At 36.5% G+C, this 27,865-nt stretch overlaps 1 protein-coding gene and 2 non-coding genes across 7 annotated transcripts, besides 1 other annotated feature; 2 read left to right on the plus strand and 1 right to left on the minus strand.

Annotated features, from left to right (window-relative positions):
* Positions 626-27,540, plus strand: FMO3 (flavin containing dimethylaniline monoxygenase 3). 5 transcript variants are annotated; one of them, NM_001319173.2, is made up of 10 exons: positions 626-685; positions 2,374-2,511; positions 10,801-10,927; positions 13,506-13,694; positions 17,396-17,558; positions 17,800-17,942; positions 20,519-20,718; positions 23,728-24,083; positions 25,929-26,001; positions 26,821-27,540. In NM_001319173.2, the coding sequence occupies exons 3-10, from the start codon at positions 10,856-10,858 to the stop codon at positions 27,161-27,163; spliced, it is 1,539 nt and encodes a 512-aa protein (NP_001306102.1). In that variant the 5' UTR covers positions 626-685; positions 2,374-2,511; positions 10,801-10,855; the 3' UTR covers positions 27,164-27,540. The 5 variants fall into 5 exon arrangements, with proteins under 5 accessions (NP_001306102.1, NP_001002294.1, NP_008825.4 ...); NM_001002294.3 differs by lacking the exon at positions 10,801-10,927 and having other exon boundaries at positions 626-702; NM_006894.6 differs by lacking the exon at positions 10,801-10,927.
* Positions 11,449-11,527, minus strand: MIR1295A (microRNA 1295a). Its single transcript, NR_031627.1, has one exon. It is a non-coding gene; the product is annotated as a microRNA 1295a (primary transcript).
* MIR1295B (microRNA 1295b) lies at positions 11,460-11,519 on the plus strand. The gene has a single exon (NR_049854.1). It is a non-coding gene; the product is annotated as a microRNA 1295b (primary transcript).
* Positions 17,424-18,623: an enhancer, noted in NCBI's record as "BRD4-independent group 4 enhancer chr1:171076844-171078043 (GRCh37/hg19 assembly coordinates)". NCBI's record gives its function as "activates an origin of replication core promoter dependent on BRD2, P300/CBP, MED14 and CDK7 cofactors, and independent of BRD4, by STARR-seq in HCT116 cells {active_cell/tissue: HCT116}" and the evidence as "EXISTENCE:reporter gene assay evidence [ECO:0000049][PMID:35650434]".

Genomic DNA, 27,865 nt, shown 5'->3' on the forward strand with positions numbered 1-27,865 from the left:
CTGGGAGTTAGGTGCAGTTTATTTTGTCTAACTGCCAACATAATTTTACCTGGTACTAATTTTACCTGGTTCCTGGTACTAATAGATCAATTTGTGGAATTTTGATCTTTTCTGTGACCACACACTGTACTCAGAAACAAGTAAATATAAGCTTGAGAAATACAGGCCTTTGACCCCAAAATTCCAAGACAGGACATGAAAAGAGAGAGCAGAGAAAAGTCATCCTCCTTATTGGGCTATCTCAATTAAGTAGCTAAGTTTCTACAGTATTTGGAGGACTACTATGAGCTACCCACAAAAGAACTAGGAATAAGGAAAACAAGGTAAACTTTCAAATAACACATAATAAAATGGAGTACAGAACTGCAAAGTCACCTGGGAGAAACTACTTGACTCCCAGGCCAAGGGTCCAAGAGTATAACCAGCAGCTTGTGTTTACCATAATCAAAGGAAAAGTAGAAACTGGGTGGCCATGGGAGACTGGCCTACAGTCCCATCCATCACAGAGGGTTGGCGTGTGCTCACCCATTCAAGGACCAATAAATGAGTATCTCTTTAAGAGCAGCTCCTCCCATTTTTCAACAATCTTCCTAATATGTAGGCTCACTAGAACATTTTCTCTTTCAAACTGCCCAGACGGTTGGACAGGACGTAGACACACAGAAGAAAAGAAGACAAAGAACGGGTAGGAAAATTAAAAAGGTAGGAGGCTGAGGCGGGTGGATCACCTGAGGTCAGGAGCTTGAGACCAGCCTGACCAACATGGTGAAACCAAATCTCTACCAAAGATACAAAAATTAGCCAGGCGTAGTGGTGCATGCCTGTAATCCCAGCTACTTGGGAGGCTGAGGCAGGAGAATCACTTGAATCTGGGAGGCAGAGGTTGCAGTGAGCCGAGATCACACCATTGTACTCCAACCTGGATAAAAGCGAAACTCCGTCTCAAAAAAAAAAAGAAAAGAAAAAGAATAAAAGGTGATATAGTAAAGGGTTGAGGGTGGGATGGGTAAATGAAGAAGGAGCATGCTGTAGTTTTATACCAAATATGGCTAGAATGAGAATGATATAATTCAGGCAGTTTGTTTGTTTCTGGGAATCACGGATCATGATGTTTAATCATCCAAGTCTATTTCCCTGCATAGCTATGTGATTTTGTCTAAAAAGAAAAAAAAAAGTAGTGAAAGAAGTAGTGGTAGAGCCTAAAGACAGTGTCAGGAACAGAAAAAAGTTAGGAAACGTAATTTTCTTAGAGGGGAATGGACGCTGAAGGTAGTGGGAAAAAATTGTTTTTAGGTAAGAACATGACTTCTTTCCCCAACACCCCCCGGAGAGAAGGTCTCACTCTGTCACCTAGGCTACAGTGCAGTGCTGTAACCATAGCTCACTGCAGCCTCAAACTCCTGGGCTCAAGCGATACCCCAGCTCAACAGGACTATATAATCCCAGAGTAGCTGGGACTATAGGTATGCACCATTTACTTGTCTTTTTAATTGAGAAGGTGAAGTACATTATTGATGGGGAGAAGGGGTGACTACCTGGCACACTGAAATACAGACATCTTCAGACCTTGTTCCTCATTATCCGTATCTAAGTAAAAAGAAGATACAGATTGCGTGTGTGTGTGTGTGTGTGTATGACTGTGTGTGTGTATACATATACATATGTGTTTCTTCATTCCCATATACAGGCATATGTATGTGGGTGGGTGGGTGGATGTGTCTACAGGTGTTTTAGTTGCGAATCTTTATTTCTTCTGCTTACTCTTTTTGGTAGACAGTAAATGACAAAGTCCAAAAGCAAAAAAGATAAATATGTATGCTGGGTCATCAGTCTCTTAATTTTGGAGAGCTGATGACTAAAAACAAAGTGCTTATTTTTTTTTCAGAAGAAAACTTTCTCTTTAGAAATTAGAGAGAAATGAAAATGTAGTTAGATCACTAAAAGGAATTTGTTTTCTAGAGACAAGGTCTTACTCTGTCACCCAGGCTGGAGTGCAGTGGTACAATCACGGCTCACTGCAGCCTGGAACTCCTGAACTCAAGTGATCCTACCGCCTCAGCCTCCTGAGTAGCTGGGAGTACAGGCATGTGCCACCACACCCAGCTGATTTTGTTTGTTTTTTGTTTTGTTTTGTGGAGACAGGGTCTCACTCTGTTGTCCAGGCTGCTTTCAAACTCCTGGGCTCAAGTGATCCTCCCACCTCAGCCTCCCAAAGTGCTGGGATTACAGGCGTGAGCTACCATACTCAGCCAGTGTTTATTAAAAAGTAAAGTTTTTATTAAGCCAAAGAGCGAAATCAAAATAAATAGATAAATAAGTAAATACATTTTCAGCAATGTTGTTACTGGAAATGTTCTCTGGGCCTTTGCACAGGTTACCATGGGGAAGAAAGTGGCCATCATTGGAGCTGGTGTGAGTGGCTTGGCCTCCATCAGGAGCTGTCTGGAAGAGGGGCTGGAGCCCACCTGCTTTGAGAAGAGCAATGACATTGGGGGCCTGTGGAAATTTTCAGTGAGTAGCATGTTGTTGTAATAGACAGGAAAATAGGTTGGGAAGTGTATAAGAGCACACTGTGTGCACACAGGTTTCCAAACCTGCTACCATGGCAGTTATCATATCTGTTAGAATTGGAATCCACTAAGTACAGTGTCAAGAGCAGGTTGGAAAGTAACCTCCTTGCAAGTCAGAAGTAAATTAGACAATGGGCTTTGAAATTCTCCATTACAGTTCTCCCTTGATAGATCATTAATAAGAGCCACTTGGACATAAAATTAGTGGTAAATATTAGTTAGGTTTATGTAGTTATAATTATTTACTCATTTAAAACACAATAACTTTTCACATCTTTTTTTTTTTTTACAGATTTAGGGGGTACAAGTGCAGTTTTATTACATGGATATAATGTATAGCAGTTAAGTCTGGGCTTTTGTGTAGCCATGACCCAAATAATGTACATTGCACCCATTAAGTAATTTCTCATACCTCAACCGCCTCCCACTCTCCTACCCTTCCAAGTCTCCAATGTCTATTATTCCCACATTCTATGTCAATGTGTATACATTATGTAGCTCCCAATCGTAAGTGAGAGAATATGTGGTATTTCACTTTCTGTTTCTGAGTTATTTCACTTAAGATAATGGCCTCCAGTCCCATCCATGTTGCTGCAGAAGACATAATTTCATTCTGTATTCTCGCTGGGTAGTATTCCATGGTGTGTGCATATATACATACATATATATGTATATGCGTCTGTGTGTATATATACATATATGTATGTATATACCACATTTTCTTTATCCAATCATCCTTATTGGACAACAAGGTTGATTCCATTTCTTTGCTATTGTGAATGGTGCTGCGATAAACATATGGGTGCAGGAATTTTTTTTATATAATGACTTCTTTTCCTTTGGATAGATATCTACTAGGGGCATTGTTGGGTCAAATGGTAGTTCTATTTTTAATTCTTTGTGAAATCTCCATACTGTTTTCTATAGTTTATATTCCAACCAACAGTGTTTCCTTTTCTCCACATACTCACTAATATCTTTTTTTTTTTTTTTTTTTTTTTTTGAGTGGGAGTCTCACTCTGTCTCCCAGGCTGGAGGGCAGTGGCGCCATCTCAGTTCACTGCAGCCTCCACCTCCTGGGTTCAAACGATTCTCCTACCTCAGCCTCCCGAGTAGCTGGGGTTACAGGTGCCCACACCCAGCTAATTTTTGTATTTTTAGTAGAGACAGAGTTTCGCCATGTTGACAAAGCTGGTCTCAAACTCCTCAGCTCAGGTGATCTGCCGGCCTCGGACTCCCAAAGTGCTGGGATTACCAGCATGAGCCACTGCGCCTGGCCTTTTTGACTTTTTAATAATAGCCATTCTGACTGGTGTAAGATAGTATTTTATTGCGGTTTTAATTTGCATTTTCTCTGGTAATTCGTGATGTTAAGCATTTTCCCATATGTTTATTGGCCATTGGTATGTCTTTTTTTGAAAAATGCTTATTTATCTCCTTTTTCCCCTTTGTAATGGTGTTATCTGTGCTTCTTTAAAATTGAGTTGCTTGAGTTCCTTATAAATTCTGATATTTGTCTTTTGTTGAATGCATAGCTTGCAAATATTGTCTCCCATTCTGAAGGTAGTCTGTTCACTCTGTTAATTATTTCTCTTTATGCGAAAAAGATTTTTAGATTGTCTATTTTTATTACATTTGCTTTTGAGGCCTTAGTCATAAATTCTTAGTCATAGCCTAGGTAAAAGAGTTTTACCTATTTTTTTCTAGAATTTTTATAGTTTCAGATCTTACATTTAAGTCTTTAATCTCTCTTGAGTTCATTTTTGTATATGGTGAGAGATAGGGGTCCACTTTCATTCTGCGTATGGCTATCTAATTTTCCAAGCACAATGTACTGAATAGGGTGTCCTTTCCCCAGCATATGCTATTGTCAACTTTGCTGAAGATCAGTTGGCTATAGGGATGAGGCTTTATTTCTGACTTCTCTATTCTGTTCCACTGATCTATGTGTCTATGTTTATACCAGTACCATGCTATTTTAATTACTATAGCCTTGTAGTATAATTTGAAGTCAGGTAATATGATGCCTCCAGTTTTGTTCTTTTTGCTTAGAATTGCTGAGGTTATTTGGGCTTTTTTGGTTCCATATGAATTTTTAGAATTGTTCTAATTCTGTAAAAAATGGCATTGATATTTTGTTAGAAATTGCATTAAGTCTTTTGGGCATATGGTTATTTTAATGATATTGGCCCTTCCAATCCATGAGCATGAGATGTTTTACCATTTGTGTCAGCTACAATTTCTTTTATTCATGTTTTGTGGTTTTCCCCAAAGAGATCTTGCACCTCTGGTTAAATGGGTTCCTAGATAATTTTTCCATTGTTGTTGGCTTTTCCCATTCATTTGGTGAGGCTACCAAAGTGATTGGGACCATGGATTTTAAAGTTTCAGGTGCTGACTTTGGTCTTGTGAAACTACAAAACTGAGAATTGCTTTGAAGTTCTTCAATGCCCCTTTGTCCCGTGCATATGTAATAAGGGTTCTATTAGCAGACATGCATGTATGCACTCATTAAATCACTTCATGTGTTGCCAAACAGCAGCAGGAATGGGGCTTCCCTATGTTCTCCACTCAATCAGTACAGTCTTCCAGCCTTATTGCCTGAGTCTTATTTTTCTTCTTCTGATAAACCCATTAATATATATGCAAATTTAGGAAGATTAATGACCCTTTTAAGCCACTATTTCCTCCTCAAATGCAAAATCAGTATTATATTATTTACCTCAATGAAAAGGTTGTATTTAATGAAACAGTGTCTGTAACAGCTGTTTAAATATTATAAAGACATGAGATATCATTCTTATTAATATAGATATTTTGCAGACTGCAAAAAACTCTTGAAACCACCCAGCATCTTTTCTTAAAAATATGGTATGTTTCTTTTATATATATCTATAATAATATAAATATATATTTAATATATATTTATATATTAAATATATAAAAAATATAAATATATATTTATATAACTATATAGATTAAATATATAAACATATAATTATATATATAATATAAATATATATAAAATATAATTATATTATATATAATTATAATATGTATAAATATATATTTATATAATTATATATAATATATATTTATGTATTATAATTATATATTTATAATTATATAGATATATTTTATATATTTTTATATATTAATATACATATTATATATTAATATATAATATATATTATATATAAATATATAATATATATTATATATTAATATATAATATATATTAATATTTTTATATAATTAATTATTATATATTAATAATATAGTAATTATTATATATTGATATGAATATATAATATATATAATTATATATAATATATTAATATATATTTATATCAATATAATATTTATATATAAATACATAAAATATATTATTTCATACATATTATATAATTTTATATATATAAATATTATATATATTATATATCTATTATATATCATATATAATATTTATATATAATATATAAAATATATAAATATATATAAATATATAAAAATATATATATTATAATTATATATATGTTATATATAATTACATATATATTATATATGTTATATATAATATATATTACATATTTTATATATTAAATATATATTAAATACATAATATATTTTATATATTAAATACATAATATACTTTATATATTAAATACATAATATACTTTATATATTAAATACATACTATACTTTATATATTAAATACATACTATACTTTATATATTAAATACATAATATACTTTATATATTAAATACATAATATACTTTATATATTAAATACATAATATATTTTATATTTAAAATATATATTTTATATTTAAAATATAATTAATATAATTATATAAAAATTAATATAATTATATTAAAAATATATATAATTAATATAATTATATTAAAAATATATAATTAATATAATTATATTAAAAATATATATATTTGTAATTATACTTTAAGTTCTAGGGTACATGTGCACAATGTGCAGGTTTGTTACATATGTATACATGTGCCATGTTGGTGTGCGGCACCCATTAACTTGTCATTTAGCATTAGGTATATCTCCTAATGCTATCCCTCCCCACTCCCCCCGCCCCACAACAGGCCCCAGTGTGTGATATTCCCCTTCCTGTGTCCAAGTGTTCTCATTGTTCAATTCCCATCTATGAGTGAGAACATGTGGTGTTTGGTTTTTTGTCCTTGTGATAGTTTGCTGAGAATGATGGTTTCCAGCTTCATCCATGTCCCTACAAAGGACATGAACTCATCATTTTTTATGGCTGCATAGTATTCCATGGTGTATATGTGCCACATTTTCTTAATCCAGTCTATCATTGTTGGACATTTGGGTTGGTTCCAAGTCTTTGCTATTGAGAATAGTGCTGCAATAAACATACGTGTGCATGTGTCTTTATAGCAGCATGATTTATAGTCCTTTGGGTATATACCCAGTAATGGGATGGCTGGGTCAAATGGTATTTCTAGTTCTAGATCCCTGAGGAATCGCCACACTGACTTCCACAATGGTTGAACTAGTTTACAGTCCCACCAACAGTGTAAAAGTGTTCCTATTTCTCCACATCCTCTCCAGCACCTGTTGTTTCCTGACTTTTTAATGACTGCCATTCTAACTGGTGTGAGATGATATCTCATTTTGGTTTTGATTTGCATTTCTCTGATGGTCAGTGATGGTGAGCATTTTTTCATGTGTTTTTTGGCTGCATAAATGTCTTCTTTTGAGAACTGTCTGCTCATGTCCTTCACCCACTTTTTGATGGGGTTGTTTGTTTTTTTCTTGTAAATTTGTTTGAGTTCATTGTAGATTCTAGATATTAGCCCTTTGTCAGATGAGTAGGTTGCGAAAATTTTCTCCCATTTTATGGGTTGCCTGTTCACTCTGATGGTAGTTTCTTTTGCTGTGCAGAAGCTCTTTAGTTTAATTAGATCCCATTTGTCAATTTTGGCTTTTGTTGCCATTGCTTTTGGTATTTTAGACATGAAGTCCTTGCCCGTGCCTATGTCCTGAATGGTAATGCCTAGGTTTTCTTCTAGGTTTTTTATGGTTTTAGGTCTAACATTTAAGTCTTTAATCCATTTGAATTAATTTTTGTATAAGGTGTAAGTAAGGGATCCAGTTTCAGCTTTCTACATATGGCTAGCCAGTTTTCCCAGCACCATTTGTTAAATAGGGCATCCTTTCCCCATTTCTTGTTTTTGTCAGGTTTGTCAAAGATCAGATAGTTGTAGATGTGTGGTATTATTTCTGAGGGCTCTGTTCTGTTCCACTGGTTTATATCTCTGTTTTGGTACCAGTACCATGCTGTTTTGGTTACTGTAGCCTTGTAGTATAGTTTGAAGTCAGGTAGTGTGATGCCTCCAGCTTTATTCTTTTGGCTTAGGATTGACTTGGCAATGCGGGCTCTTTTTTGGTTCCATATGAACTTTAAAGTAGTTTTTTCAATTATGTGAAGAAAGTCATTGGTAGCTTGATGGGGATGGCATTGAATCTATAAATTACCTTGGGCAGTATGGCCATTTTCACAATATTGATTCTTCCTATCCATGAGCATGGAATGTTCTTCCATTTGTTTGTGTCCTCTTTCATTTTGTTGAGCAGTGGTTTGTAGTTCTCCTTGAAGAGGTCTTTCACATCCCTTGTAAGTTGGATTCCTAGGTATTTTATTCTCTTTGAAGCAATTGTGAATGGGAGTTCACTCATGATTTGGCTCTTTGTTTGTCTGTTATTGGGGTATAAGAATGCTTGTGATTTTTGCACACTGATTTTCTATCCTGAGATTTTGCTGAAGTAGCTTATCAGCTTAAGGAGATTTTGGGCTGAGACGATGGGGTTTTCTAGATATACAATCATGTCATCTGCAAACAAGGACAATTTGACTTCCTCTTTTCCTAATTGAACATGCTTTATTTCTTTCTCCTGCCTGATTTCCCTGGCCAGAACTTCCAACACTATGTTGAATAGGAGTGGTGTGAGAGGGCATCCCTGTCTTGTGCCAGTTTTCAGAGGGAATGCCTCCAGTTTTTGCCCATTCAGTATGATATTGGCTGTGGGTTTGTCATAAACAGCTCTTATTATTTTGAGATATATCTTCTCTAGTTCTTTTAATTGTGATGTTAGGGTGTCAATTTTAGATCTTTCCTGCTTTCTCTTGTGGGCATTTAGTGCTATCAATTTCCCTCTACACACTGCTTTAAATGTGTCCCAGAGATTCTGGTATGCTGTGTCTTTGTTCTCGTTGGTTTCAAAGAACATCTTTATTTCCGCCTTCATTTCATTATGTACCCAGTAGTCATTCAGGAGAAGGTTGTTCAGTTTCCACGTAGTTGAGCGGTTTTGAATGAGTTTCTTAATCCTGAGTTCTAGTTTGATTGCACTGTGGTCTGAGAGACAGTTTGTTATAATTTCTGTTCTTTTACATTTGCTGAGGAGTGCTTTACTTCCAACTATGTGGTCAATTTTGGATTAGGTGTGGTGTGAAACCCCCCAACATCTTATACAATGTTGTGGAGCCTACTGTATGTTATTAAAATGTGTTGACAGGGCTTCAGATTAACACACTGGTGATTCTTAGGGCTTTTTGGTTGTTGTTATTTTTGTTTCTTTGTGGCCAAACTTAGGGCTATTTTATCAAGCACTTTCTATATGACACATGACTTTTTCTATTTAATTAAATATTTATAGTAATCCTATAAGCTAGGTATATTTTTTTTCCTTTTACAAATGAATTTGAAGCTTTAAAAGAAAAGAAAAAAAATCATACAGCTGATAATGGTGGAGAAAAGATCCCAATTCAAGCTTGCCTTTCTCTCTAGTCTATTCTTAACTCCTTTGTAAATTGCTGGTTGCCATTTCACCAAGTGGCCTATCGAGCTGACCATGTCTTTCTTTTTTTTTTTTTTTTTTTTCTTTTTTCTTCTTCTTTTTTTTTAGACAGAGTTTCTCTCTTGTTGCCCAGGCTGGAGTGCAATGGCACAATCTGAGCTCACTACAACCTCCACCTCCTGGGATCAAGGGATTCTCCTGCCTCAGCCTCCCGAATAGTTGGGATTACAGGTGTGTGCCATCACGCCCCGCTAATTTTTGTATTTTTAGTAGAGATGGGGTTTCGCCATGTTGGCCAGGCTGGTCTCGAACTCCTGACATCAGGTGATACACCCGCCTCGGCCTCCCAAAGTGCTGGAATTATAGGCATGAGCCACCACTCCTGGCCAGCCATATCTTATACACAGTGATCTTAACCAAAGCCTCATACTCAAATTTAGTTTGCAAGACGTTGCTGAAGATAGAACGCACTGCTGATATGGCTATTGAGAGGAACACAGCCAAAGACAGCTAATTTGTCTTTTCTTGCTGCTCGAGGAAGACTTTAAAATTTGAACCTGGCAGCATAGGTTGATAAAACTGAACTGCAACATGTGCTACCCTTCAAGAAAAAGAAAGGATAGCCCAGAGGGTAGAGCCTCAGGCCCTGAGGGCAGAGGCCTGAGCCAAAGCCTTCAAGCCTGAAGGAATTTGTCCTACTGGATTTCAAAATTGCTTGGGATTAGTGATTCTTTTCTTTCCTCCTTTTTCCTCCCCGGTTAAATGGGAATGTCGATAACGGTTACCCATGCTTGTCCCACCATTGTATTTTGGAAGAAGATAACTTGTTTTCTAGTTTCACAGGTTCACAGATAGAAATTTTGCCTCATCCTGGTCCATATCCAGAGTCTCATTTATACCTGATTTAGATAATTTATATGATGATGAGATTTTGGACTTTTGAATTGAAAATATATAAATGAGAGTTGAGACTTGATTTCATGCTGCTATGGGTTGAGACTTTGAGGATGTTGGGATTGGGTTAATGTATTTTGCAGATGGGATGGATGTGAATCCTTGGGAACCAGAGGATGGCCTGTAATAGGCTGAACAATTTAACAATGCCCCTCCTCAAAGATATCACATCCAAATTCCTGGAACCTGTAAATGTTATCTTACTTACAAGAGAAAAGGGTATTTGCAAATATAATTAAGTTAAAAATCTTAAGATGGAGAGATTTTTCTGCATTATGTGGGTGAGCCCCAAACGCTATAATGAATGCATCGTTAAAAGAGAGAGGCAGAGGGAGATTTAACACAAAGAGAAGAGAGAAGGTGATGTGATGACCTCAACAGAAAGAGAGAAATTTGAAGATGCTATGCTCTATCTTTGATGATGGCCAGAGGAGCCATGAGTGAAGGCGTACAAGAGGGGTCTTGCCACTGAAAAAAATAAGAAATGCCAGCATCCACCAGAAGCCAGAAGCGGCAAGGAATGGATTCTCTCCTGGAGCCTCTGAAAATGAACATGGTACTGTCACACTTCGTTTTCAGCCTACTGATAGTGATTCCCGACTGCTGACTTCTAGAACTGTGAATCAATTGCTATTATTTTAAGCCATTAACTTTGTGGTAATTTATTACAGCAGCCACAAGAAACTAATACCTTTGGTTTTTCAGCGTTTCCTATTTTACTACTGTGAGGGGGCTTATAGATTGCAAATGATGGAGCAAACAGCAGTGTTTCTCAGATCACTAGAAGTCTGCAGCAATAGGCTTAGTATTCACATTATAAGATTGTTATAAAATTGTTCTAATTTTGTATTTGCCTTCCCTTTGGTTTCTAACATCATCATTTTACATTATCTTAACTTTTTTTAAATTTCAGAGAGATCCAAACATTGGTTAAAACTTAGCTAACACTAAGGGTGCATATAGTTGAAACTGTTGGAGCTGTTTACTACAGCACTTTCTATGCCCTTCTAGTTCTGACTTCTAACCCTGATCTAGAGCCACGATGATGTATTTCCCTCACCTTCTTTGGTCACAGAAGGAGGACATTTCACCCAGATCTGCGGCCTAATCACAGGCCACATTTCTGAATAGGCCACGGATCTGGGCAAAATGTCCTCTTTTCTCAGGAGCTCCCCAAACAATAAATCAGTAAATCATATGAATTTTTGCATGAAGTTTTATGAATAGTGGCTTTCTTCTGGGAATACCTCCCTTTTTTAACTTCCTCTGATTTTTTTCTGGACTATGTATCAATTTTTTTCTTTAATGTTTCTTCTCTCTTTATGCTGATTATCATCTCTTTAAACTTACCCAACTCACAGAAAGCTACAAATTTTTGCACTTCCCCATCCCACATGCCTATAGCAGAGTCAACAAACCATGTGAGCAGCAGAAAACTCATGTCCTATTTAAAGAACACGCTGCTTTCTGAAATGAACATGGCAACTAATCTGCCAATTAATTATTTGTCAATAATGAAACTGCAGCCACATTGGCTTTTGACGTGATTGTAATATTCCAATATTATACTAAAATTTCATGTTCTGGGAGCCCTGACAACTTTCAGTTAGATGAGCTCTAATTAGAAGTTTCTAGTGCTCAGTACTTTCCACTATGAACTAGCAACTACACATAGAGATCTACAATCTGATCTTTCATCATGAAACTTGAGATATAAGTACCTTGATGCTTCAACAGAGCTAAACCAAGGCTCCACCTCTTCCTAATCATGCTCCAACCAGTATTTTTTTTTAACTTAATGCCTTTTATTCATTCAACAGCTTGCTTTGCAGAGCTCACAGCTGTAACAGATGTGTCCTATGGTAAGCTCTTCCACAGTAACTGTAGCCTGTTGGTCATGAGCTTCCATTTGTTGAACTCTACATTGTGACTGACAAACTTGGCTGCACCTTAAAATTACCTGAAGAGCTTTTAAAACTTGCTGTCAATTAAATCAAATTCTCTGAGAGTGGGACCTAATGCTCAGTGTGTTTTTTAAAGCTCCCAGTTTATTTCAGTGTGTGGCTAAAGAACCACAACACAATATCCTAAACTTCTCATTACTGATCATTCTTTCTTCAATGTTCTTTTTCTTTATTCATCATCACTTAACATTTCCTCTAAGGCTTTATTAGCATAGTTCTATAATTCCTTAGAGTTAAAGAAAATTCAGATATTTTTACATCATTGAAAGCTAAAACTTTGTTACTTACATAAGTGCTTAAAAGGCATGCAATGCCCATAAATTCTGTGTTAGATTCAAAATAGTTAACCTTATTTTATACATTATAGAAATTCTAAGGTTAATTTTTTAAAAATTAGGTCTTAAAATGCTTACATTTACAAATCTGATCAATAGTTGCAACCTCTTGTTACTGTTTGCTTTTATAAATTGACCATTAGATGCTTGTGCTCATGAGTTGACACATTGAAATTATGCAAGGTTGAATTTTGAAAAATCTCTGTCACCATATTTAATGGTTCAAGGGAATGAAAGGATTCTAGTTACATAGGCCTAAAGGACATAATGAAATTTAAAATTTGTTTCCCTTAGAAAAGATTAAGATATATTTTCTTAAAAGATATTAAGAAAGGTATTCTTCCATATCCTAAGTTCCCTTAGTAAGTTTCCATGATTAGCATCAATTGTTGAAGTGAAGTTAATTTATGTGTGTCTTACCGAATTTACTGTGGATAAAGGATGACTCAAATAAGTATACACTTGGCCATCTGTTTTTGCAAGTTCTGCATCCACAGATTCAACCCACCATTGATTTAAAAAATCCAAAAATAAAAATAAAAAATCAAAATCAAAATCAAAAAACAATACACTACAACTATTCATTAAGCATTTACATTGCATTAGGTATTATAAGTAACCTAGAGATGATTTAAAGTATCTGTATATAGGTTATACGAAAATACTATATCATTTTATGTAAGAGACTTGAGCATTCGTAGATTTTGGTAACCACGGAGGTCCTGGAACCTTCCATAGATACCAAGGGATGACTGTAATTACTTGGAACCAGCCCTGACCATGATCAGTATACTCATTTACCAATTCGCTTCCATTTGATACTATACATTCACAGGACCATGCAGAGGAGGGCAGGGCTAGCATTTACAAATCAGTCTTTTCCAACTCTTCCAAAGAGATGATGTGTTTCCCAGACTTCCCATTTCCCGATGACTTCCCCAACTTTATGCACAACAGCAAGATCCAGGAATATATCATTGCATTTGCCAAAGAAAAGAACCTCCTGAAGTACATACAATTTAAGGTAAGATGTTATCAACAATTTAGCTCTTGTCATAATGCTGAAGAAGTCTATGTCTACTACTGGATTCTCATTTGTTCCTTTCAGTTTCCCTTTCTAATTTGTCAACATTTTTAACAGTGTGGCCTCTCTAACTCTAGGTTTAGAGAATTACCTTCTTCTCAAGGATACATAGAAAATTCACAAAATTTGACCACCTACAGTTCTTAGACTAAATCACTACTAATTTAGAAATCAATACCAAAGAAATAAATATAAAATACCTGTGAATTTGGAAATTAAAAACTCTTTTTATCTAAATAACATATAGGTCAAAGAAGAAATTTCAATGGGAATTTAAAAATATCTATAACTGAATGTTAATTTAGTCTATGTATCAATACTTGTGGGAAACATAGGAAGCTATATTTTCATGAAAATTATAAATGTAAATGTTTATATTAGAAAATGAAAAAGTTTAAAAATAAGGTAAGAAAGTTTAAAAAAATTAGTAAAAGAAAGACAGAATAAACTCAAAGAACATAGAATGAAGGGGATATAAAATAAATTTATAAAATGTAAAAAAGCATATGTACAAATTGAAAGTTAATTATTTGAAAGGACTAATAAAATAAACAACAGGAGCCAAGTGCAATGGCCCATCTTATAGTCCCAACACTTTGGGAGGACAAGGCAGGCAGATTGCTTGAGTCCAGGAGTTGGAAACTAGCCTGGGTGACATGGAGAAACCATGTCTCTACAAAAAATACAAAAATTAGCTGGATGTGGTGGCACATGCCTGTGGTCCCAGCTACTAGGGAGGTTGAGGTGGGAGGATTGCTTGAGCTCGGGAGGTAGAGGTTGCAGTGAGCTGAGATCACGCCACTGCACTCCAGCCTGGGCGACAGAGTGAGACCCTATCTCAAAAAATAAATAAATAAACAATAGATAAAAAGCTGGCAGTGTAAGGAAAAAATAATCAAAGGCACAAATAAATAATATTGCGAAGGAAAGGATAGACAAAATGGATACAGATGAATTAAAAAATATAACAAGAATACTATAAAAGTGTTTGCCAAGTAATATTTTAAGTTGGTTAAATTTTCTCAATTTTTTAAAAAAATCTTATCAAAACTCACTCAATAATAAGTAGAAAGCCTGAATTGTCATTTGATGATTTATAGTTCTTTTGACCTAGAAATTAAAAATCTTCCCATAAAGAAAATAAACAGTTCCATGGGTGAGTACTTCCAAACTTGCAGTGAACAAGTTATTTCAATATTTTAGAAACTTTCAGAGACTTGAAAATGAGATATGATTTCCAAAGTTATTTTATGACATTATTACCTTTACATCAAAAGCAGACAAGATAATATGAAATAGGAAAATTACAGGCCAATCTCCTTCATGAAAATCAATGTAAAAATCCTTCAAAAATGAATCCAACAGAGTATTAAAAGAGATTAACTGGGTCAAATGGTATTTCTAGTCCTAGATCCCTGAGGAATCGCCACACTGACTTCCACAATGGTTGAACTAGTTTACGGTCCCACCAACAGTGTAAAAGTGTTCCTATTTCTCCACATCCTCTCCAGCACCTGTTGTTTCCTGACTTTTTAATGATCGCCATTCTAACTGGTGTGAGATGGTATCTCATGTGCCCTAAAACTTAAAGTATAATAAAAAAAAAAGAGATTAACTGTCTTGATTGAGTTTGGCCTAAGTATGCAAGAGTATTTTAATACTAAGAAATATAAATATATATTTTACTACAAAAACCTGTTATAGGCAGAAAACCACGTTTATTTAACAAATTCAGAATTTAAAATTCAGTTACATTAACTGAAGTTTAACACCTATTTATGCATGAAAGATAAAAAAAGAAAATCAAAAGAAAACTCTCGCCAAACTTAGAGCAGAATTGTCTTGAACCAGCAAAACATACGCAAACATTATCTTAATCTTTATCTTAATTTATCTTAAATCTGCACTGTTCAATATAGTAGCCACTAGTCACAAAACTGAGATGTGCTATAAGTATAAAATATACAAAAACTTTCCAACTCTTATTATAAAAAAGGAAAGTAAAATACCTTATTAATAAATTTTAATTACATTTTGAAATGTTAACATATCAGACAGATTGAGTTAAATTATACATTTTTTTCAGTTTTTAATGTGACTATTAGAATTTTTTTTTTTTGTTTTGACACGGAGTTTCCCTCTTGCTGCCCAGGCTGGAGTGCAATGGTGTGATCTCGGCTCACCATAACCTCCACCTCCTAGGTTCAAGTGATTCTCCTGCCTCAGCCTCCCAAGTAGCTAGGATTACAGGCATGCACCACCATGCCCAACTAATTTTGTATTTTTAGTAGAGATGGGGTTTCTCCATGTTGGTCAGGCTGGTCTCAAACTCCCAACGTCAGGTGATCTACCTGCCTCACCCTCCCAAAGCACTGGGATTACAGGCGTAAGCCACCATGCCTGGTCTTAGAAATTTTGTAATTGCATATGTTGCTCATACTATATTGGTACTGGTCAGTGCTGTGCTAAATGATGAAAAGTTAGAAGCATTCACTTTAAAGTTTCAGAACAAGATAAGAATTCCTAATTACTATTATCAATAGCACTTACTTCTTTTCAATAGTCTTAAGAAATTTAAGAAACAGTGCAGTAAGTAAAGAAAAATAAAGAGAATGACAACTCAAAAGAAAGTAAAACACAGTTATTGAAGATAATGTGATTCTCTATGTAGTAAATCCAAAAGAATATATAAATTACTAGAATTCATAGCAATATAAAAAGAGTTAGGCAAGGTGGTGGTATATAAGATCAATATATAAAAATGAATTGCATTTCTGTAAACCAGCAGCAAACAGAAACCTATCCAAAAAAAAGTTGCCATATATAATAGCATAACTAATTAACTAAATTATCCCACAGTTATTCTAAACAAATTATGTATTAGGTCTTATGAGTCCATAAGTGCTCATTTTATTATATTTCATAACTAACAAAAATGTAACATATATGTGTTTGTGTATTTTCTTATATGTATGAAATAGTACATAATAAAGTTCTTAAGAACAATTAATACCAAATAGAGATTCTTTTTCCAATATAATCAGAAGAATTGAAAGATTTTTTTAAAACAGGGAGCACACCAACAGGCAGCCATTTAGCTGTGAACAAATATTTATCGATAATCTAGTCAAAGCTACTCAGTGTATAGTCCAAGTGACATCAGCGTCACCTAGGAGTGTGTTAGAAATTTGAATTTAATAGTTTTAACTTTAATTTAACAAATCTAATAATTTTCTGGATCACGTTTTCATATATTCTGGTTCAGTACATCTATCTTTGAGTTATCTTTAATATACTGAACCAGAACATACAGGAATGTGATCCAGAACATCATTGGCCATCAGATTTTCTAGTATATGTGATGTGCACCTCTTATAAATTATAATTGAATTCACTGCCATATCTCCAAGGGGTGTCACTCTTGTACTCCAGAAGATACTGGTTATGCACAAGAAATCATGCAGGGACAAATAGACAGATACCATTTAGTGTTTTGATTTATTCTGAGGGAATTTTAAATTTGTAATATGTATCTTAATCATTAAATATTTTTCTTAACCCACTTTTCTTTTTTCATACTGTATCTGCCAAAACCATTTGCTAGCATAGAAAAGAGGGATTTCTTTCTGTATTTCTCTTAGACATTTGTATCCAGTGTAAATAAACATCCTGATTTTGCAACTACTGGCCAGTGGGATGTTACCACTGAAAGGGATGGTAAAAAAGAATCGGCTGTCTTTGATGCTGTAATGGTTTGTTCCGGACATCATGTGTATCCCAACCTACCAAAAGAGTCCTTTCCAGGTAAGGCCAAAATTTAAGCTGCTAGCCACATAACTGACAAAAATGAATATCTTGATAATGTCTTCTTTTTTCTAAAAGTATAAGCAGGTTAAATTAAAATATACTTCTGTTATATCTAATATGCTTGGTGTGTTAAAATAGCACATTATTGTGACTGCATCTATTCACAAGGTCGCTTCTGTTAAAGTCTTTGTTTAAATATATGACTCAAACTGCCATGTATTTCTCACTTTTCACTCAGGACTAAACCACTTTAAAGGCAAATGCTTCCACAGCAGGGACTATAAAGAACCAGGTGTATTCAATGGAAAGCGTGTCCTGGTGGTTGGCCTGGGGAATTCGGGCTGTGATATTGCCACAGAACTCAGCCGCACAGCAGAACAGGTACTACTCCCCGGGTACTCGGGTGACTCTCGTTACTGACAGAAGAGTTATTATCGTTTGAAAGGTGTGATATGAAATGTGGGGGAGGAGGGAAGGGTATCTGATGTAAAGACTAAGTGGTATTTCACATAGCTGAGCTTCCCCAAGTAACAGGTGAGGTTTTAAATCACTTCATAGACAAAGGCAGAACATCAGCAAGGAGTAACTGTCATTCAACAATCTCCTTCTTCAAGACATTTGATGCCTAATATCTCGGATCAATTTCTCTAAAACTAGCACAGATTTAGGGTGAAGGTTATGACTCTTAGACTCGGGCAAGTCCTTCAATCTCTCTGAGGCAGGTTTCTCAATGGTAAAACAGATAAAAATAGAACCTACTTCTGGGCTTGTTATAAAGTTAAAGCTTTTGAACAAGACTTAAGCAATACAGAGTGGCTCATTTATTCATTCATTTATGATGCAGGCACACATTTATTCAATGACTACTTATTGAGGGCCTACTATGTGCCAGGCACTGGGTTGGGTGCTGAAGACAGTGGTGAACATAACAGGCATGATCCCTGCTCTGGAACAAGAGCTGCCACTGGAAAAAAAGGATAAACAAGTGATTCAGGCACTAAATGCTATGATTCCAAAACTGGATGCTTCACAAAGGAGGTAGAATAGAACCAGTCCTTGAACAATAAATATAAATCATGAGACTGAAGAGGCGACAGAAGCTGTTCTTAGAATTGGAAATGCCACAAGCAGAGGCAAGAAGACAAGAAAATGAGCATTGTATATTTTACTATTGTAGGTTATAGTTTCATCTTGCTGGAATGGAGGTTCTTAATGCTAACAATTTGTATGATGCATTATGGTACTCAAATACCTTCCTGTAAATGGGCTCCTTTGCTTGTGGGAAGAAAGTAGTTTTATAACAGAAAGGATAAATGAGGACCAGAAATGTCAATTGTCTTCTTGAAAGTCATTGAGAAAATTAATGTTTGAGCCACTGAAGGGTTACAGAACTGAAAGCCAAAGCTTCCGAATCCAAGGAACAGTAGTCATAGGATTGCGTTACAGGAAAGAAAGATTGGGATCAGATTATATCACATATTTTAAGGACTTGAATGACAGGATAAAATAGATTTCTGTGTAAATAAAGGTAAATCATTATTTCAGCTTCTTGGGTTTAGGAAATTTATGATGAACTCATAGTTTTCACAGATTTCTATTTGTATATGTGATTATTTGCATATGTGATAAATTAAAGGGAAGATCAATTTCAGAGGCTATTTAATTAATTGATCCTTTAGTCTCTTCTTTTTTTTTTTTTTTTTTTTTTTTTGGAGACAGAGTCTCACTCTGTTGCCCAGGCTGGAGTGCAGTGGCACAATCTCGGCTCACTGCAACCTCCGTCTCCCAGGTTCAAGCAATTCTCCCATCTCAGCCTCCTGAGTAGCTGGGATTACAGGCACCCACCACCACACCCCATACCCAGCTACTTTTTGTATTTTTAGTAGAGACAGGGTTTCACCATATTGGCCAGGCTGGTCTTGAACTCCTGACCTCAGATGATCTGCCCACCTAGGCCTCCCAAAATTCTGGGATTATAGGCGTGAGCCACCATGCCCGGACTCCTTTAGTCTCTTCTTGTCTAGTTCCTCTTATAACAAATGCCTTGAAGTGATATGGCATATAAAAATTGGTTTTAAAAAAGACAAAGAAAGCCTGAAAACTACACTATTATGGATTAGCATAACAGAAGGGGAAGGAAAGGAAACTGACATTTACTGAGCACATACTATCTGCCAGGTAACGTTAGCCATGTGACATAGTTTATCACATCGAATTAACGCTTACACAAATTTGATGAGGCAAATTCGATTCTCTCCATTTTAGGAATGAGGGAACAAGATTAGAGAAGTTAAAGGAATTTTTTCAAATCACATCATTAATAAGTAGGAGAGCCAGCGTTTGAGCGTATGGTTTTCTGATTCCAAATTTCTCACCTTCTTTCCAGATAGTAGCAGGCATTTTGCTTTAAAATGCCTATTTTGAGATCATAATTGCTTATTTGTAGACAGCAATAGTTAGATAAGTGCTAGGGAAAACGTGACTAGAATTCAGTTATTAGTCACCTGTAGCAGAGATTGATTAAAATATGAAAATTTGCCTGCAGCACTGTGACAGGGTGGCTGACCCTAAGATGTAGATGTAAAGTTCAGACGTTTATTTGGGAACACTCTCAGGATCAATACTTCCACAGGAAGGGAAGGAAGCTTCCATTTACTTTGAAGCTGGGATGGTCCTTTGGCATTGCCCCAATTTGAGGTGAGGGACTGGGCCTTTATACGCCCGCATTGACCAGTCACTAGATGGAGGAAACTCAGAAAGAGTAGAAGATGTTGGGTGAGGCCCCTCTCTTCAGCCAAAGCAATGGTCAAAAAGGACTGACAGCTGAGAGATGTCTTCTGACACCACTTTCTGCAGCTGGGGTAATAGATCCATTCCTCAAGAGGGATCTGGGGTGCTCACCAGAATATCCACTACAAATGGTCACTAATTTCATGGTTGAATTGGTGTTTTTTAAGGTCATGATCAGTTCCAGAAGTGGCTCCTGGGTGATGAGCCGGGTCTGGGACAATGGTTATCCTTGGGACATGCTGCTCGTCACTCGATTTGGAACCTTCCTCAAGAACAATTTACCGACAGCCATCTCTGACTGGTTGTACGTGAAGCAGATGAATGCAAGATTCAAGCATGAAAACTATGGCTTGATGCCTTTAAATGGGTAATGCAGAGCTAAACGTGATATGCCTGCTGGCTTTTAGTTCAGTGTCAACAACCCTTAATGTCCTGTAAGCCCAAAACAAATCAAAGTATTAGCAATCACAACTCATATATCAGAAGATAAAGAACTGCACAAATTAAGAGTGATTTCCTATTTTGCAATCCTCCTTACTATATTTACACAGCTGGAAAATTATATAATGCCTCAGGAATTAGTCCCGGGAGTAATGATAATCAAAGTTAACCTCTTTTAAGCATTTTATACATGTCAGAGATTTAGCAAGACTCTGCTAAGGCTCTGGCATATATTATTTCATTTTATCCTTACAATTATGAAGAGAGCTCTACTAGTATCTCCATTTTAGAGATGAGATAACTGCGTTTCAGTGTAGTTAATAACTTTACTAAGGTCCCACAGCCAGGAAGTAGAAGCAGCGTTCAAAACAAACCCAGATCTGCTGATTCTAGAGCCTCTCAGTCTTGGCCACTTGCTCTACTACCTGTCACTTAATGGCAAAGTTAAGCACATCAGGAGAACGTTTCATGTCCTACCTTTCCCTCTTCGTTTCATCACCCACCCCTTAATGGACCCCCTCTCACTAAACACATACTTACCAATGCTTGCATCTTCAGTCTCCTTCCCATCTTCTCCTATAACGTCCTCCAAGCCAGTAACATAACAAGAAATGACTTTGACAAGAGGTGAAAAACCCAAGTTACGAGCTGTTTTCATCAAAGTGAATTCATTAATTTGACAAACATTTATTACACGTTTATTATATGCCACATCCTGTGTTTAGCCCTGTGGATATAGTAGTGGACAAAACATGCAAAAATCCCTGTCCTCATGGAACCTACATTCTAAGTGGTGGGAAACAGACAAACAATAGCATAAGATCATATGGCGATGTGTGCTTTGGGGAAGAAAACAAAGCAGATAAAGGTAATGGCAAGTGCTGTCAGGACAATTTCCAATAGAGTCCTCAGAGTATGTCTCAGGGAGGAGACTTTTAAGAAAACCTCTGAAGGAGTTGAGGGAATGAGCCATGAGGGTCTCAGGGGAAGGGTATTCCAGACTGAGGACACAGCCAGGGCATTTACGGGCAGGGCTGGCATGATCAACAAACAACAATGGGGCTTCTCTTCCTTGAGAAAAGAGAATGAGGGGAGAATGCCAGGAGATAAAACCAGAGACATAAAAATTGTTGGATGGCGTGGGCCTTGTAGATCATTGTAAGGACTCTGGCTTTTACTCTGAAAGCAATGGGAAACTACAGCAGGCATCTGAGCAAATGAATTACAAGACCTAAATTAGCATTGCAGAGATTGATCGGCTGCTGTGGTCATCATTCAATGTAAGGGTAGGGCAAGGAAGGAAGTGAAAGGACCAGTTAAAAAGCTACTCTCAAAAACCTGAATCAGAGGGGATGTTGGTCTGGACCAAAATTGTTAGCAGTGAGTGGTCAGAATTGGGCAGATTTCTGGATAGCTTGAAGGTCGACCCAAATAGGATTTTCTGTGGACTGGATAGAGGATGAGAGAGCAAGGAGGGAGTAAGAATGTCTTCAAGATATTTGAAAAAGGATGACATTGACGTTTACTAAAATGTGAAAAACTGCAGGAGGAACAGAAGTTCAGTTTTAGACATATTAAAGTTGGAATGCCTATTAGACATTCTGGTAGAAGAATGTTGAGCCAGCAGTGGGAAACACAAGACAGGAGGGAGGCTCAAACCAGAAGTTAAAACTCTGGAGTCATGAGAAAATTTTTCCTGAAGAAATGGAACTAGATGACATCTCTTGAAGAATGCATGTAAATGGAGGAGACTAAAGGTCTGGGGACTGAGTCCTGAGGTATGCCATTGTCAGAAGTCAGGAAGAGGAGAAGACATCTGTGGGAGACAGAAAAAGAATAGCCAGCAAAGTAGGAAAGGAACTGAGAGAGAGTGATGACCTGGAAACAAAATGAATACAGTGTTTCAAGAAAGAGGAAACCATCAATTATGTTAAATGCTAAGTTGAGTAAAAGGGAAAGTGAGGGTGGACCACTGGATCTGGGAGCCTGATTCTGATGGCCTTGACAAGAGCAGTTTCAGCGTGGTGATGGAGTTTGTTCTCCAGTGGAATCTGCCTGTAGCACTCTCTCACAGCTCCCACAGCCATACAAGAACAACACTCTTTCCTTCAACTGTATTCACATTCATCCCTGGGTTCAGATTTCTCTGCTCCCACTACAGATATTATTGAATAAAAAGTAGTCCAAAGCTCTCTCTTTCCAGACTTGCAGTTGCCAAAGCCTCAAACTGGCACCCTCCCTCTGGCCTTATTTAAATTCCTGGGTGCTCCCTCCTTCACCTGATTGGTGCCTCTGTCTGCATGGGGCTCATACTTCATCCCTCAAGAGCCCAGCTGCAGCTCTCACACCTTTGACTTTCCTCCTCCTATTTGGTCTTCTCCACAGTATGATGACCATCTTGGAGTATACTGAATTAAGAATAACAGTTAACATTTTCGAGCTCCATGCATATGCTAGAGACTGTGCAAAACTCTTTATATCATTTAGGGAACTTCTGAGGTAGTACAAACATTACTGACATTCCAGATGAGAAATATGAGACACCAAGAATTTAAAAAACATAATCTCATCAAGGTTCCCACTGAATAAGTAGCAACTTTAAAAATGTAAACACCGAGGTACCCTCACTTCAGAGTTTTTCCTGAAACAGGCTTTAACAGGGAACTGGGCATAAGCCTTTATTCCGGGATTTGGAAAGAGCTCCATGGAAGAGAAGGATCACAGAAAATAGAGATGGGGCCAGCAAATAACAACTTCTCTTACTTCCCAATGTTGCCTCCCATCAATTTTGTTCTTCAGCCATATTGGAGATACTCTATGCCTCAGAAAAAAAAAATCTTGGGTCATTTTTTCCTTCCTTATCAATTTATATATGGACCAATAAAACAAGAGGGAAATATTACACTTCCAATAATTGTCTCTGTTTTCCATACAGAGTCCTGAGGAAAGAGCCTGTATTTAACGATGAGCTCCCAGCAAGCATTCTGTGTGGCATTGTGTCCGTAAAGCCTAACGTGAAGGAATTCACAGAGACCTCGGCCATTTTTGAGGATGGGACCATATTTGAGGGCATTGACTGTGTAATCTTTGCAACAGGGTATAGTTTTGCCTACCCCTTCCTTGATGAGTCTATCATCAAAAGCAGAAACAATGAGATCATTTTATTTAAAGGAGTATTTCCTCCTCTACTTGAGAAGTCAACCATAGCAGTGATTGGCTTTGTCCAGTCCCTTGGGGCTGCCATTCCCACAGTTGACCTCCAGTCCCGCTGGGCAGCACAAGTAATAAAGGGTAAGTCAATAAAGAGGCTCATGGATTGCGAAGATGAATGCCAGTGACAATAACTTTGGATCTTTGTGAAAACAATAATCCTAGTTACAAGGTCCCCTTCAGTTTTGAAAATTTATAATTCTATATTCTTTAGTGCTATATTTTGTTAGCAATTTAAAGTATACCAGTTTGGATTATTGTATGAAATACTACAAGATATTATTAGAGGAGGCATTTTGTGACTACAACTTCTTACAGCTGATAATTACCCAAGATCATTTATTAGACTTGAGACCACCAAAGCTCACATCCACTTAAGACTAAGTGAATGACAACTTTATAAAATTATGATTGCAAAACTCAGTAGAATTACATTGCTTGAAAAGTTCATAAGAAAATATGTTTACGAGCCAACATCCAGCCAACTTCAAATATCCACAGTCATGGAAAATATGATTGCTGGAAGGCAATGGCTTTTCTACTATTATTTTCTTCCCTGACAAAAAAAGGACAAACAGTGGATCAACAGAGGCAGAAAGTGCTAAGAACAAACAGTGGATCAATAGAGGCAGAAAGTGCTCAGTGTAGTAGATGATCAGTCTGTAATACATAAGAATACTGAGTTCTTATATTTTACAAAGGAAACAACAAACTTGATTGGGGTCAGGCAAGAAAGGCAGGCAGCATCCCCCAGCAGCAGGCTGGAATACAGTTGTGGGGAGATGCAGATCACACGACCAGGTAGCCAGGAAGGTAATGGCATGAAATTTCACTCAGGATTCCACTTAGGGTTCAGACCCAGAGAGGCTGGCATTAAAGGAAGGGTGCTACCCTTACTCTCTATGAGGACAAGAGTTGTAACTTGGGCTCTGAAGAAAGGAAACAAGGCAATTTATGGGGAAAATTGATGTACACGGCACAGGCTCTCTTAAGGGAAATGAGACACAAGGCAAACAACCTAGATTTGGAAAACCAGAGTACCAAGACAAGAGGGGCTAGTTACAAGCAACCCAATGGCAGTAGTCGGCAGGCTAAAAAACAGTCTCTTTCTTTTCAATCTCTTCCTCTGAAAAGCATGACAAGTTCCAAGGCCTGGAACCATACCATATCTACAAAAGCTGTTCAAGTGACCCTCCCTATAAGAAGTGTAGAAATGGGAAATTAAGCAAGCCATTGTAGGTCTTGAGTAATCATATCTGGGCTAAGAGTTTTATTCTCTTTCAAGTTGATACCAAGATTACCAAAGAAATCATCCTAAATTTGAAGTATTTCTGGACACAAAAGGCTGTTTTGGTCTGGGTTTTAGAGAACTCTGCAAACTTATGTAAACCTGGATCCTGGGGCAGCCCCAAGTCAGATCTAGTCTCCTGGGTCTCCCTTATGTCCTTGGTGACTTGTGGACAGTCCATATCCTCAGTCATATTCAAGAACTACTGGCTTCCCATAGAAAAACTTAGCCCTTCACCAAATTCGATATCTTATCTTCTGGAAATTCCATTTTCTGGCAAAGCAGGATTAATTTCTATGAAGATTTTTCTTCATAAATCTTGGAAAAGTGATGCCAATTCACCTCTGTTTGGCTATAATTTAAAAGACAACATTCTTAAAATATGACTGAGATTAAAATATATCTATGAAACTGTTTTGAAACATCTTGTAACCAGTTTAAGAGCAAAGCTATTTAGGTAATGTTTTTTAATTATTATGACAAATATGAGTTCTGAGAAGACTAGAACTGAATTTGGTGTCTGTCTGAAAATGAACACCAATTAATGTAATTCATAACTCATTATTAAAAAGGGAAAATTACAGGCTGGTCCTATGCCAGACTCATTAATTACCATCGTGTCTTTCCTTCTTTATCAGGAACTTGTACTTTGCCTTCTATGGAAGACATGATGAATGATATTAATGAGAAAATGGAGAAAAAGCGCAAATGGTAAGAGTACCTATTGTAATAGGAGTGTAGGATTTCCATAGAAAAGTGAGAATTTATGAATGCTTGGAACTGTTTTAATCTTAAATTATCCTGAATGACATCATTGGAATGACAACTACAAGCTATATTCATCCATTCAACAAATATTAATTGAAGACCTACGTTGCTTCTGACATTGTATTAAGTTCTTTTTAGTACAAGGCACAGAGTAAATAATAGGATTGAGAATCTACATTACATAGACAGTTTTAGCCCTCCATGCCTCCTGTAATATATATCATAGAAAGGAGACCCAGAAAGGATTTGAAATCAGAGGAGTTTGGGAACACATGGATGTGGACTTCCATTCTCTAGCCCATAAATTCTCTAAGATGTAGAGGATATTTCAAAGGTATACCTCTAATGAAAATGACTCAGAAAAGTGAGAATGAATCTGGAGAACTGGGCTCCATTTCTAGTTGTCACTAATTAGCTCAGTGGCCATGAACTATTATAGAAGGGTCATTTGAGCAAGAGGCAATCTATCCATTTGTAAATAAGGATAAAAAATGTCTTTCTCAGCTGCATTGCAGTGTTGGGGTATTTCCAAATGAAACCATATGAAAGTTCTTTAAAAAAACCACAAAGTAGGATAAACAAATGACATTCTCCTTATACAAGAAATTGATGTTGTATGTCAGGGTAGTGTGGGAAATTTTTTTAGAAAGAGAGAGAGATTGATGTTAATTCTCACTGATATAAAGTTGCGAGCCATTTTCTCTGTTCTGTTTCTACACAGAGTTTGGGTATCCACAGTGGTGTTTTCTCTCCCATCTCCAGGTTTGGCAAAAGCGAGACCATACAGACAGATTACATTGTTTATATGGATGAACTCTCCTCCTTCATTGGGGCAAAGCCCAACATCCCATGGCTGTTTCTCACAGATCCCAAATTGGCCATGGAAGTTTATTTTGGCCCTTGTAGTCCCTACCAGTTTAGGCTGGTGGGCCCAGGGCAGTGGCCAGGAGCCAGAAATGCCATACTGACCCAGTGGGACCGGTCGTTGAAACCCATGCAGACACGAGTGGTCGGGAGACTTCAGAAGCCTTGCTTCTTTTTCCATTGGCTGAAGCTCTTTGCAATTCCTATTCTGTTAATCGCTGTTTTCCTTGTGTTGACCTAATCATCATTTTCTCTAGGATTTCTGAAAGTTACTGACAATACCCAGACAGGGGCTTTGCTATTTAAAAATTAAAATTTTCACACCACCTGCTTTTCTATTCAGCATCTTTTGCAGTACTCTGTAGACATTAGTCAGTAATACAGTGTTATTTCTAGGCTCTGAAATAGCCACTTTAAGAATCATGTCATGATCTTAAGAGAGCACTAATCATTTCTGTTTGAGTTCCACTAACACTTCAAAATCAGAACTATGTTCTTTATATCTAACTTAAATCATTTCCTGAAACATTTTGACATGATTCCTTTTTCCTTTTAAACAATGTATGAAAGATGTATTTTAAATCTAAATAAAGAGCAAATTAAGCAGAATAATTATAATATGATACTCTCAGGCTACTTCTATAAGCTATTTGCAGGGTCAAGGGGGGAGCTTGGCTATTACATTATTTTTCATTTGTTTGTTTTGTGCAACATAATCCAGGTAAGACCTCCTCTTCTCTGCCCAAGAAACATAGCATAAAGACCTGGTCTATATTGAAAGTTAACACAAAGTAATTTGTTTTATTTATATTCTCAATAAGGAAACAAACTTTTCAACTTCTAGCAGCAAAAGAATAATAGCAATAGCAATGAGTGTAGTACCAAATAATACACCTTTTAGCTTAATCTTTTAAAAATTAAATATTTAGCCAAAACTGTGACC

The sequence above is a fragment of the Homo sapiens genome, chromosome 1 (assembly GCF_000001405.40).
Source record: "Homo sapiens chromosome 1, GRCh38.p14 Primary Assembly".
NCBI lineage: Eukaryota > Metazoa > Chordata > Mammalia > Primates > Hominidae > Homo > Homo sapiens.

Excerpts from the sequence above, each read along its gene's own strand:
- FMO3 (NM_001002294.3), top strand. The coding sequence starts at position 2,380 with ATGGGGAAGAAAGTGGCCATCATTGGAGCTGGTGTGAGTGGCTTGGCC. Across the intron at positions 2,512-13,505 it reads GGGGCCTGTGGAAATTTTCA|GACCATGCAGAGGAGGGCAG; the intron begins GTGAGTAGCATG and ends ATACATTCACAG. Across the intron at positions 17,559-17,799 it reads ACCAAAAGAGTCCTTTCCAG|GACTAAACCACTTTAAAGGC; the intron begins GTAAGGCCAAAA and ends CTTTTCACTCAG.